At 52.9% G+C, this 12,376-nt stretch overlaps 2 protein-coding genes across 7 annotated transcripts in view, besides 2 other annotated features; both read left to right on the plus strand.

The window, feature by feature from the left end:
• Window positions 1-12,376, plus strand: part of BUB1B-PAK6 (BUB1B-PAK6 readthrough) — a 60,060-nt gene that overhangs the window by 37,934 nt on the left and 9,750 nt on the right. For both annotated transcript variants that reach the window (NM_001128628.3, NM_001128629.3), the window contains 2 exons: window positions 9,420-9,628; window positions 10,481-11,134. In NM_001128628.3, coding sequence (NP_001122100.1) covers window positions 9,425-9,628; window positions 10,481-11,134 — 858 coding nt within the window. In that variant the 5' untranslated portion in view covers window positions 9,420-9,424. The remainder of the gene's footprint in view (window positions 1-9,419; window positions 9,629-10,480; window positions 11,135-12,376) is intronic.
• Window positions 1-12,376, plus strand: part of PAK6 (p21 (RAC1) activated kinase 6) — a 38,425-nt gene that overhangs the window by 16,299 nt on the left and 9,750 nt on the right. For all 5 annotated transcript variants that reach the window (NM_001395430.1, NM_001395431.1, NM_001276718.2 and 2 more), the window contains 2 exons: window positions 9,420-9,628; window positions 10,481-11,134. In NM_001395430.1, the coding sequence (NP_001382359.1) occupies window positions 9,425-9,628; window positions 10,481-11,134 (858 nt within the window). In that variant the 5' untranslated portion in view covers window positions 9,420-9,424. The remainder of the gene's footprint in view (window positions 1-9,419; window positions 9,629-10,480; window positions 11,135-12,376) is intronic.
• Window positions 1,135-1,184: an enhancer, noted in NCBI's record as "active region_9238". NCBI's record gives its function as "activates an Ori minimal core promoter by ATAC-STARR-seq in GM12878 lymphoblastoid cells {active_cell/tissue: GM12878}" and the evidence as "EXISTENCE:reporter gene assay evidence [ECO:0000049][PMID:35858748]".
• Window positions 1,258-2,055: an enhancer, noted in NCBI's record as "H3K4me1 hESC enhancer chr15:40548820-40549617 (GRCh37/hg19 assembly coordinates)". NCBI's record gives its function as "activates a minimal SCP1, AML or CMV promoter by ChIP-STARR-seq in naive H9 embryonic stem cells {active_cell/tissue: H9 hESC(naive)}" and the evidence as "EXISTENCE:reporter gene assay evidence [ECO:0000049][PMID:30033119]".

Consider the following 12,376-nt stretch of genomic DNA (forward strand, 5'->3'; position numbering starts at 1 on the left):
CAGGTTGCATGTCATGCTGTCTGCCCTGGCCCATGCTGCATCTGTCTGGGTCCCTCAAGTGGGACAGCAGAGCCTCAGGGTCCTGCTCATCCTCCCAGGGCCTCTCCGCACTTCAGCACACTGACCCTGAGCAGGTTGTTTGAATCTTGTGGGCATCCACATGAGGGCCACAACCTGCGTCTAGGACCCTCCTCCCCCGCAGGTGACAGCTGAGCAGAAAAGCAGATGAAATTTCCTTCCCCCGTGTATTTTGGGAGCCAGGATAGGGTGCTGGGGTGCCACCTCTCCTGACTCTCAAGTCACGTGAAGAGGAGCAGATGGCAGACTCGGACCCCAGTAGAGGCTGAGGTGAGACAGAGTTCAGCTCCACACAAGGATCAGCGAGGGGACAGAGGGGACAGAAGGCAGGGGCTGCAGGGGGAGCTTTTCATCGCTGAATGAGTTCTAGCAGAGTGCGGGCAGCCTCCTGTTGGGAATGCCAGAGGGACTGAACTTTGGGCCAAGGGGAAGGTCAGACCCCGTCAGGAGTGCCACAGATCCTGCACTACCATCTCTTCTGGCTGCAGAAGGTTGGCCTAGAGCAACACCTGTTTGGAAGAAGCAAACTAAACCACACAGGAGTGAGGATTTCCTCTCGTTTACCATGGTCCCCAGAGCCTGGAGTAGAGTAGGTCCATAATAGATACTTTCTGAATAAAGGAATACTATAATTTCCCAGCTGGGCACGGTGGTATGCTCCTCTAGTCCTGACCACTCAAGCGACTGAGGTGGGAGGGTGGGTTGAGGCCAGACGTTCGAGGCTGCAGTAAGCTCTGATCGCGCCACTGCATTTCAGCCTGGGCGACTGAGTGAGACTCTGTCTCTAAAAAAAAATTTTTTTTTTGAAACAAACTTCTGAAAGTAAAGTTTGAGAAAAATCCTTCTGGCCAATGAGAATATTCCAGTGAAAGGCTGTCTTCTGTTCGCGGTAATTCTCAGCCAAGGGGTCAGGTGAGGCCTGTCACCTGTCAGAATGTGTGTGGGATGACAGTTCCCAAAGGGGGTTACAAAGAGGTCAAGAAACCCTGCTGCAGGTCTCAGCATGTCAGGGCCCAGCCCTGGAGGTGACAGGGTCCTCTGGAGGCCACTCTGACAGGTTGGTGATGGTAGTAGAGTGCTTTCCTAAGTTTTGTAGCACTCGGGGCTCACCTCTGTCTTGGGGCTGTGATTCTAGGATAGGCCCTTCCCCAGAGTGTCTTGGATGGGCCTGAGAATAACAGAGGGTGGTGGTAGGAGCAGATGGCCACTGCAGCCAAGTTCACATCAGGTCCTGGGTCAGACTCGTGTCTGCCCCTTCTTTGCCTCTCGGCTTGAATGAGTCACTTAGTCTCTCCTTCTCTGCATAATGGAGACAGTACTAGTGCTACCTCACAGGCTTGTGGCGAGGAGATCACATGTGTGAAATGCTCAGCCCAGAGCCTGCTACTTCCGTCTTATGCTAGGCTCTTCCTGAGTGACGACCGTGAGAAATATCCAAAGCTCCTCCGTGAGCAGGAACAGATGCTCCCCCTCACTGTGCCTGGAGAAGCTGGCAGAGGTGAATTAATCCATCCCTTGTCATCTACAAAAATGTCGAGGCCTACGTAAGGCGAGTAGGCCAAGGTCACAAGCCGGGACTTAGGAACACCAAGCCCAAGGTCCACGCTGAGCCAGCACTCGGGCTTGTGGCCCAGGACTTGAGCCCTGGTAAGCAGACCCTGAGCCTCACTGTGAGAAAGCCTGGGCCTGCCGCCCCCCTCTCACCCCCTGGCACCTTGAGCAACCCAGGAGCTGGCCCACTAGGCAGCGGCCTCCTCTCTTCCCAGTCGCCCGCAAATGGCAGGGAATTCCACCAGCTTCATTTCTAACAGCTTCCCAGCAATCCCAGCGCTTACACAGCCAGCCCAACGCTGACCCCTCCGGGTGGCTGCAAACCCCTTTAGACTCACTTTCTGGAAGCCAGCTTCCCAGCCTCAGCGCGTTCTTGTGAATCCCTTCGGTGGGCTGTGTCCTTTCCTTGAAAGGGACTCAGTATGCGCAAACAGCCCAAACTCACTCTAGGCCAGGTCTGGAGGGTCAGGTGGGTGACCACGTGGGATACCACCACTTCTGGTGAAAAGCGGGGTGACGGGTTAGGAGGACAGCTGAGGTGGGCTCATAACGTCTCCAAAGGCAGTTCCCAAAGAGGAGTTCTGGAAATGCCAGAGCATGTTTGAAACAGGCAGGTACATTCCCAAGTGGTCTGTCTCGCACAGCAATGCTCATTTGAATGCCCATGCTCTGGCTTGAGGTTTAACGGCAGGCATCCTCTGTAGTGCCACCCTGCATCTGTGGGGCCCTGATGGCTCTGGTGGCCCTGGCATCCCAGGGCCTGGCCCATGGATGTCTCCTCTCCAGGGAGGAGACGTTGAGGAGGGTGGCCCACCCACAGTGCAGCTGCTTTTCTCATCTGTGGACACTAGACCAGCCAAGCCTCAGTGCCATGCTCTGGGAATCCCCTTGTCTCTGTGGAACAGTAGCATCCGCCACAAAACTTACTCACCCCCTCCTCAAGCCAAGCCTGTGGGTCGCCTGGCTTCAGGCTGAGCCCCTACAGAGGGGCTGTGGATGCATCCTGTGCTGGACAGAACACACGCCTGCTGTTTCTGTAGCTTTTCCTAGATGCCAGGCCCTGACCATCACAGCCCCCACCATGACCTCTTGGAAACATTTTACTCACCCCTTGCTGAGTGGAAAAACACCTGGTTCCTTGCAAGATAAGGGTCAGCCTGCAAGTTAGGACAGCCCCAGGCCCCCTGGCCTCTGACTCACAGGTCAGCCCAGGAAAGAATTCAGCAGGCTTCTTCCCTGGAGGGGCCAGCCCTGTCCTACATACCTCACGCACATCTTGCCCGTTTCTGTTCATAAAGACCTCCAGAGAGGGAGAAGAACCACAGCTGACTCAGTCCGGGGTAAGCATGGTGGACGGAGCAGGGGCTCTGGAATCAGATCTGGGTTCAAACCTCAACTCAGTCATTTCCTGGTTCTGTGGCCTCAGGCAAGCTATTGAACCTCTTTGAGCCTCATCTGGATTTGTGGATAACAATTCCTTCTCTCAGGGTTGCTGTGAGGGTTAAATGAGCTAACCCTCGGAAGGGGCTTAGCACATAATAGGTGCTCAAGAAAAGTTTCTTCCCTTTCTGTGTCTGAGATTGCTGCTCCTCCAACACCACTGTCCCGCCCCTCAGTGACCCCAGGTACATAGCTCCTTGAACTGTCCACCAGCTCCGCCCTCAGGTTTACTGGGGGTAGCAGCATTTCCTCCAGAAAGTGTGTGCCAGGAACCGTCGGTCCCCACTGGCCAGGCTCCGGCTGGAGGAAGCCCCACAGCAGGGGAGCTTCCTTCTTGAACTGGTTTGGGCTGGACCCTTCCCTCCCAGGCCTTGGGCATCCCCCGATGCAGTCATGCGTTAGCCAGCAGGAAGATGCCTGCAGACATCCAGAAGAGAAAAGTTCAAAGCAGTCCTCACACACGGCAGTGCCTTTCCAGCCTGAGGTGGAATCTTCAGTGTGGCCTCCCTCCCCTGTGTTAAGGCGAAGTGTCAGCCAGGAGGGGCTGGGGCTGTGCCCGAGCTGGCCACCCCGTTCTGCTTGTTTCCACTTCAGGGTCTTAGGCTCACATCACTTCTTTCAAGCTGGGCAGGAGAAACGGCAGGGTCTGGCTCTCTGAGGGGGAGTCCCCTTCCTTCCTCCTCCTGGTGTCTTCTTGGAGGAAAGCTCCTCCCCTAGATGAATTGCGTGCAGATGGAGATGCTAGAGGGGCGACAGTAACAGCTGGCATGGCCTGTTTGACTTAACCTTGGGGCCCCATGGCTGGTGCAGCAGCCACCTCCCTCAGCCCAGTGGCCTTGGAGACATGGATGGGAAAAGGAGCCCTGGAAATGGCAAGCGGAGGCCCTGGCTGACCGGGTGGGAGTGCTCTGAGGACACAGCCTGATGCTGGGGAGAGGCAGGGCATGTTTTGTCCTGGGTGATTCACTCGCGATGACTGGGGCAACACTGGTCCCGTTCAGGTGGATGAACGTCTCTTAGGCACTCAGCCTCCATGGATCACTCTTCTCTGTATTTAAAAATATTTTGTTTTTGGCCGGACGCGGTGGCTCACGCCTGTAATCCCAGCACTTTGGGAGGCTGAAGGCGGGTGGATCACCTGAGGTCAGGAGTTCAAGATCAGCCCAGCCAACATGGTGAAACCCTATCTCTACTAAAAATACAAAAATTAGCCGGACGTGGTGGTGCACACCTATAGTCTCAGCTACTTGGGAGGCTGAGGCAGGAGAATCACTTGAACCTGGAAGGCAGAGGTTGCAGTGAGCCAAGATCGCACCACTGTACTCCAGCCTGGGCAACAGAGTGAAACGCTGTCTCAAAAAAAAAAAAAAAAAAAAAAAATTGTTTTTTTTTAGAGAAGCAATCCGTCGTCTTTAAGGAAAACTTAGAAAAAGAGTAGAAAGATAGAATAGAAGGAGATCACCTGTAGCCCCACCAGGTAAATGGGACAACTAATATGTTGATGTATTTCCTTCAAATAGCCATTGTATTCACACTGCATTGACAAATTACCATTGGCAAAATCTTTAAAAACCCCCTACCCCTAATCTATATCATCAAGAATTCCACTTTCGCCAAAGTAAACCTTGATAGTTTAATTTGTGTCTGGGACCCATGACTGTGGACAGGTTTAGGCCCCAGCAGGTCGTGGGATCCAGGAGAGACCACCAAATCGGGCCCCTCATAATGATCACACTAGACCTGAGGGAGGTGAGAGTCAGGCTACGGGTACCCGCCGTCACTCCCACCAGCTTTATTATTTTACCTTTCACATTGAGGTTTGTGATCTGTCTGCATAATTTTGGAGTATGATATGAGCTCATTCTTCCGGGTTTATTTTTTTTCCATGCAGATATCAAATTACTTCAGCTACATTTATTAAAAACATCATCCATTCCCCCAGCATGTTGCAGGGTCACCTTTGTCATTAATCAAATGACCTCATAAGAGTGGGTCTATTTTTGGATTCTCTCTTCTGTTCCATTGGTCTATTTGTCAATTCCGTACTAAATTTGCCAATTTTTGCCTATTTGCCTATTGCCTATTTGCCAATTCCATACTAAATTAATTATTGTAGCTTTCTAATAAATCTTAATATCTATTTAGTACAATCCTCCAACTTCGTTCATTAAGATTGTCTTGGCTATTCCTGGTTCTTTATATTTCTGTATACATTTTAGAATCAGTTCATCAATTTCTACCAAAGGAAATATGCTGGGATTTTGTTTGAGATTTAAATTAATCTGCAGGTTAACTTGGGAATAATTGACATCTTTACAGTATTGAACCTTCTCATCTATGAACATTCTTTAATATCTTTAATAATGTTTTGTATTTTCCAATATAAGGACTTTGTATTTTTTTGTTAGATTTATTCTAGATATTTTGTATTTTTAATGTAAAATGATATCTTTTTAAAAATTTCATTTTTTTTTTTGAGACAGAGTCTCGCTCTGTCGCCCAGGCTGGAATGCAGTGGCCTGATCTCAGCTCACTGCAAGCTCCGCCTCCCAGGTTCACGCCATTCTCCTGCCTCAGCCTCCTGAGTAGCTGGGACTACAGGTGCCCACCACCACACCCGGCTAATGTTTTGTAGTTTTAGTAGAGACGGGGTTTCACCGTGTTAGCCAGGATGATCTCTATCTCCTGACCTCGTGATTCGCCCACCTCGGCCTCCCAAAGTGCTGGGATTACAGGCGTGAGCCACCGCGCCTGGCCCTTTTTAAAAATTTCATGTTGTTACTGGTATGTAGAAATCCAGTTGATTTTTTAAAATATTGACCTTGAGCCTGGGCACGGTGGCTCATGCCTGTAATCCCAGCACTTTGGGAGGCTGAGGCGGGTGGATCATGAAGTCAAGAGATCGAGACCATCCTGGCCAACATGGTGAAACCCCATCTCTACTAAAAATACAAAAATTAGCTGGGCGTGATGGCGTGCGCCTGTAGTCCCAGCTACTCAGTAGGCTAAGGCAGGAGAATCACTTGAACCCGGGAGGCAGAGATTGCAGTGAGCTGAGATCACACCACTGCACTCCAGCCCGGGCAAGACAGCGAGACTCCATCTCAAAAAATATATATATATATATTGACCTTGAATCAGGGACCTTCTAAATTCACTCCCTTAATCCCAGTTTTATGTAGATTCTCCCGCATTTTCTACTTACACAGTTATGTTGTCCCACACAGTGTTGGCCTCACCACATTTCAGATGAGTCCTAGCTGCCTCCCTTTAGGTGGTTGATTGGTTGATTTTCCAGACCTAAGTGATGGCCTCTGGTTTCTAAAGCTCTACTCCCTAGCCCCCAAAGCCTGAGCTCAGCTGATTGCTTCTGCCAACTCCCACCCTCACCATCACCACTCCTGGCCCTGGGACACCCTCTGGGCTGTCCTTCTTTCTTCTCCAGCCTCCCTGCTGCCTCTGGGAAGAACTTGTTCCGGAATGGCTCACTATTAGAATGGACTCAAGAGAGGCTCCCAGAGTCAGAGACCATTTGCTAAAGATGCTCTCCCTGTGCATCCCCACAGCAAAAGCTGAGCGCTTGGGTGGGGCAGGGGAGTTGGGGAGAGGGCTGTTCTGGGGTGGGTGGTGGGGGGCGGATTCACCAGCTCTTCTTCAGCTGCAGTCTGTGTCCCTGCACCTCCAGAAGATTTCACAGAGCTAGGGAGGAGGGCGAAACAGGCAGCTCAACTAATCCAGGGATAGCAGGTCTATCCAAGGGACTGGGGGAATAGACCTGCTGAATAAAGACTCTTCTGTAGCAAAAGGCAAAGGCTGTAATCCCAGCACTTTGGGAGACCAAGGCAGGTGGATCATTTGAAGTCAGAAGTTCGAGACCAGCCTGGCCAACATGGTGAAATCCCGTCTCTACTAAAAATACAAAAATTAGCCGGGTATGTTGGTGGGTGCCTGTAATCTCAGCTATTCAGGAGGCTGAGGCAAGAGAATCACTTGAACCCGGGAGGTGGAGGTTGCAGTGAGCCCAGATGGTGCCACTACACTCCAGTCTGGGCGACAGGGCGGCAAGACTCCTTCTCAAAAACAACAACAACAACAACAAACAACAACAAAAAAGGCAAAGGCCAAAAGGAGGAGGACAAATTTTACCAAACCATGATGTATATATGGCGAGGTCCCCAGGTCCCAGACCCCTGACATCAGGCATGACCCCTTTGACTGGTAAGTCTGAGCAGAAAGTGGTTTGGTGTTACTCCCAGACTTGTATCTGCCCAAGTGCCAGTGTCTGGAGGGCCTGAGCTTCAAGACAGGGATTCAAAGAGAGGTGACATCACAAGAGAAACAACCGTCATGTATGGGGACTCTGCTTACTTCACACACCCTAAACCCTATGAGCTGTCTTTCATTAACCCCCCTGGCTCAGATCATTTCAGTTATTTGTTCAAAATCTCTCCAAATTATTAGTGGGAGACTCCCTACAACTCATCTGCAACTCACACAGGTTGTTTTATTCCAAAGGGCTTGGTCTGTAAGGGTCCTGTACATGTGGCTCTACCTCTAGGGGGTGTTCGGTGGATCCCGAACCTCAAGACCCAGAAGCATGGCTGACATTGAGATGTGACGTGGGCTCTGATTGAGTCACGCATGGTGAATTCCTAGTGGGGAACCACTGGCTGTCCAGGGTCCCTGCCTTTCTGCCAGCTGCCTCCCAGATCTGCGACCTCCTTCAGAACCTGCCAAAATGACTAGGAAAATGCTGTTTCCATAGCAAGAGCCAAAAGAGAACATGACGGCCCTGCACTCCAGATCTTCGGGCGGATGAGTAATCCAAGCTTTCAGTTCAAGAATCATGTTTCAGTTTCTTGAAGCCTGGAAGTGACCTTTTCAGATACATAAGAACCCAGTGAGCTGTTCTGAGCCTCTTCAGATCCAAAAGCATTCAAGAGGCAGCCCTGGCCCTGTCTGCCATCAACATGTGATCCCAGGTCCGGGATCCCCTGAAGGCGAAACTAGAGCAACCCTTTGGAAGTGTCCCTCCCCTTCCCAGGCCCCCAGTTCCCCACTCTCAGATCTACCCATGCTATCCATTGCAAGCCTGTGTCACTTCTGTGTATGCAGCTCAGCACGACCTTAGGCAAAGCCAGAATCAGCAAGGCACGGGACACAGGCTTGATTGCAGGTTAAGTGTTTTATTGTTTGTTTTTTGAGACAGAGTCTCATTCTGTTGCCCAGGCTGGAGTGCAGTGGGGCAATCTCAGCTCACTGCAGCCTCAGCCTCCTGGGTTCAAGCGATTCTCCTCCCTCAACCCCATGGGTATCCGGGACTACAGGCACGTGCCACCAGGCCCGGCTAATTTCTTTGTATTTTTAGTCAAGACAGGTTTTCACCATGTTGGCCAAGCTGGTCTCAAACTCCTGACCTCAGGTGATCCACCCGCCTCGGCCTCCCAGAGTACTAGGATTACAGGCATGAACCACCATGCCCGGCCCAGGTGATGTTTTACATAGAGCTCCAATACCAGAGAGAAGAGTGTCAAGGGGAGGTGGTGCTCTCTGCCTTCTCTGGAGAGCTTTACCCCTAAGTTAGCTGCCCCTCACCCACCCCAGGCTATCCTCTTGGCTCAGGGCCTTTCTGGAATTGAGGTAAAGCACATGGTAACCATGAAGGCCCTTTGGGGGCTCCCTGATACATAATAGTCCCACACCGGGCAGCATGTCTGTGATCAGCTGGTTGGCTTTTTATTAACGTATCATATTAACAGGTTCAACCATCCTGGGACAAAGCTGAGTTGTAATAAAAAAAAAAAGCCAACAAAAAAATAACTTTAATATACTGTTGGATTCAATTCGATAGTTTTAAGATTTTCATAGTTACGTTCCTAAATGATATTGAGTCAAATTTTCCTTTTCTTGCACTCTCCTTATCTGGTTTTAAGAATCAAGGTCATACTCGTTTCATAAAACAAGCTTGCTAACTTTCCTCCCTCTTTCCCCATTTTTAAAATTCGTTGACAGACAGTGGAATGATACTTGTAATGGGCTTTGGATTTTATAAAAACACACCCCCAGAGTCTGCCTGCTCCATAGGGGACTTGGCACAGGCAAGAAGACACCTCTTTTCCTTGTTTATAGTCTGCACTGGCTTATTTATGGCACGTTTGTTGTTTCTGGGACTGTTCTGCTGGGAGCCAGCCATTTCCCTGAGGAAGCAGAGATGGAGGTGGAGGGAAGCCCTAGGCTTCTAGGGGAGCTGTGCTGGGGGAGGGGAGGGAGCCCTGAACCTGGTGCCCCAGGCCCTGCTGCAGCCACCCCTCTTTCCCGGGAGGGAGCTCAACCTTACTCTGCACTTACAGGCACCATGTTCCGCAAGAAAAAGAAGAAACGCCCTGAGATCTCAGCGCCACAGAACTTCCAGCACCGTGTCCACACCTCCTTCGACCCCAAAGAAGGCAAGTTTGTGGGCCTCCCCCCACAATGGCAGAACATCCTGGACACACTGCGGCGCCCCAAGCCCGTGGTGGACCCTTCGCGAATCACACGGGTGCAGCTCCAGCCCATGAAGGTAAGAGGGGCCGGCAGGGATGAGGTTCAGCCTCTCCCAGTACTCAGACAACCATGCCTGGCTAAACCTCAGAAAGGCCCCTGGAGGAACCACCTACTTCACAGCTATCAGTTAATCAGCTGTTTTAACTCCCTGCCTGTCAGCCTGCCATTCTCTCCCTGGGTAAGCCAGGGCGAAGGAGGCTGGGGAGACCCTCTCTGCAGGGTGGTGGGGTTGCCAGATTCAGCACATGAAAATGTGAGATGCTCAATTGCATTTGTATTTCAGATGACAACGAATAGTCTTTTAGGACGTGTCCCATTCAATATTTGGACCTGCAGCCCCATAGGGACTGAGGGCTCTCCCAGACCAGGAGAATTTTAGTTGTGAGGGTCACGACTAGTAGACCCAAGAGCCTGGTAGAAGGTGGGGTCAGGGGCCCTATCAGGGTTTGGAGGCTGCGAAGCCAGTGTGTGTGGAGGAGCCCCCGGCCTGGTGTCTCTTCCTCAGAGGGCTGGGCACATCTCTCCCAGCCACCCGTGGAGCTAGAGAATGGAGCCCCGCCCCCTGAGCTCCAGCTCCCTGGCCCAGCCGACCACACCCCTGGGCATGCTGGATGCAGCCCCATGGCACTCACCATCTGCTCTGCTGACGCTGGGCCTTCTCCCCGCATCCCTGCATCCAGCACAGGCGGGACCCACGGTGGGCCCTGATAAATTATGGAAAAATTAATGGGTGGATGACACAGCAGGGAAGGTCCTTAGGTGGTCCTCCCCAGGGCCCCCAGGGACATTCTCTGACCCTGATCTCCCAGCCACCCCTCCCTGCCACAATTGGGCAGCTCCCACACACTCTTTTCTCTTCCCCCTACAGACAGTGGTGCGGGGCAGCGCGATGCCTGTGGATGGCTACATCTCGGGGCTGCTCAACGACATCCAGAAGTTGTCAGTCATCAGCTCCAACACCCTGCGTGGCCGCAGCCCCACCAGCCGGCGGCGGGCACAGTCCCTGGGGCTGCTGGGGGATGAGCACTGGGCCACCGACCCAGACATGTACCTCCAGAGCCCCCAGTCTGAGCGCACTGACCCCCACGGCCTCTACCTCAGCTGCAACGGGGGCACACCAGCAGGCCACAAGCAGATGCCGTGGCCCGAGCCACAGAGCCCACGGGTCCTGCCCAATGGGCTGGCTGCAAAGGCACAGTCCCTGGGCCCCGCCGAGTTTCAGGGTGCCTCGCAGCGCTGTCTGCAGCTGGGTGCCTGCCTGCAGAGCTCCCCACCAGGAGCCTCGCCCCCCACGGGCACCAATAGGCATGGAATGAAGGCTGCCAAGCATGGCTCTGAGGAGGCCCGGCCACAGTCCTGCCTGGTGGGCTCAGCCACAGGCAGGCCAGGTGGGGAAGGCAGCCCTAGCCCTAAGACCCGGGAGAGCAGCCTGAAGCGCAGGCTATTCCGAAGCATGTTCCTGTCCACTGCTGCCACAGCCCCTCCAAGCAGCAGCAAGCCAGGCCCTCCACCACAGAGCAAGGTAAGTCAGGAGCCTGGCCTGCAGGTGTCCACTGGGGAGTGGGTGTAGGGACACAGGCCTTGCCTAGCCTTCCCCTTGGAGGACTGGCAAAGAGGCTCCCTGGACTGCTTCCGCCTAAGGCGGCAGAAATGTGCACGGTAACCTCTTCTCTAAGGAGGGTGGCTCGCCTCCTCCTTCCCTCCCTTCCTTTCCTTCTTTTCTCTGTGGCTGTTGTGTTGTTTCCCATTTCTGTCAGTATTTGTTCCCAAGTGTGTGGCCATAGGAAAAGCTGGATTTGCCTAGTCCAGGGGCAGCAGGAGGCCGACTTGTGGCATGTGTGACTGCTTCAGACGCACATTTTTCTTGTGAGAAAGGAAAGGGTGAAGGGAGCCCCCGTGGTGACATTTCTTGGCAGGCAGAGTGGAGCGCACCTTTTTGCTTCTTCCAGGCCCTCCAGCATCCTGTTGATAGTGACAGTAACCTCTTTTCCCATTTGGCAGAGGAGGAGACTGATAGAGAGAGGGTGAGTCACCCCCAGGCATGATGGAGAGTGAGTCAGAGAAGGAAGGTGGGGAGTGCTCTGGGGCTGCCTGTCCGGCCCGGGCCCTCTTGGCTCATGACTCTTGCGTATGAAGGCTTTACAAGCACAGCAGCCACTTGTTCTTTAGCTCCTTCCTGGGAGGGTCAAAGGCAGTCCTAAGAAACGGCTGCTGACAGTGGCATGGGTAATGGAGCCTCCCCTCCCTCCTGGGAGGGCTTTAAGACAAGCCTGGGTACTCCCCTGTCATCGGTGGGGTGAGTGTGGCCCAGCCTGCACAGGGTGTGGGTTTGGGGATGACCCGGACTACAACCTCTCTGGGTCACTGCCTGCCAGCTGAGGTACTCAGAGAAAGTTCTGGGCGGCCGCGCGTGGTGGCTCACGTCTGTAGTCCCAGCACTTTGGGAGGCCAAGGTGGATGGGTCACGAGGTCAGGAGATCGAGACCATCCTCGCTAACACGGTGAAACCCCGTCTCTACTAAAAATACAAAAAAAATTAGCCGGGCGCGGTGGCGGGCGCCTGTAGTCCAAGCTACTCAGGAGGCTGAGGCAGGAGAATGGCGTGAACCCGGGAGGCAGAGCTTGCCGTGAGCTGAGATCGCACCACTGCACTCCAGCCTGGGGGACAGACAGAGCGAGACTCCGTCTCAAAAAAAAAAGAGAAAGTTCTGAGCTTTGTGCACTCTAGTCCCCTACTAGGTTAAAGGACAGTGGGTTGGGATCC

The sequence above is a fragment of the Homo sapiens genome, chromosome 15, assembly GCF_000001405.40.
Source record: "Homo sapiens chromosome 15, GRCh38.p14 Primary Assembly".
In the NCBI taxonomy this organism is placed as follows: Eukaryota; Metazoa; Chordata; class Mammalia; order Primates; family Hominidae; genus Homo; species Homo sapiens.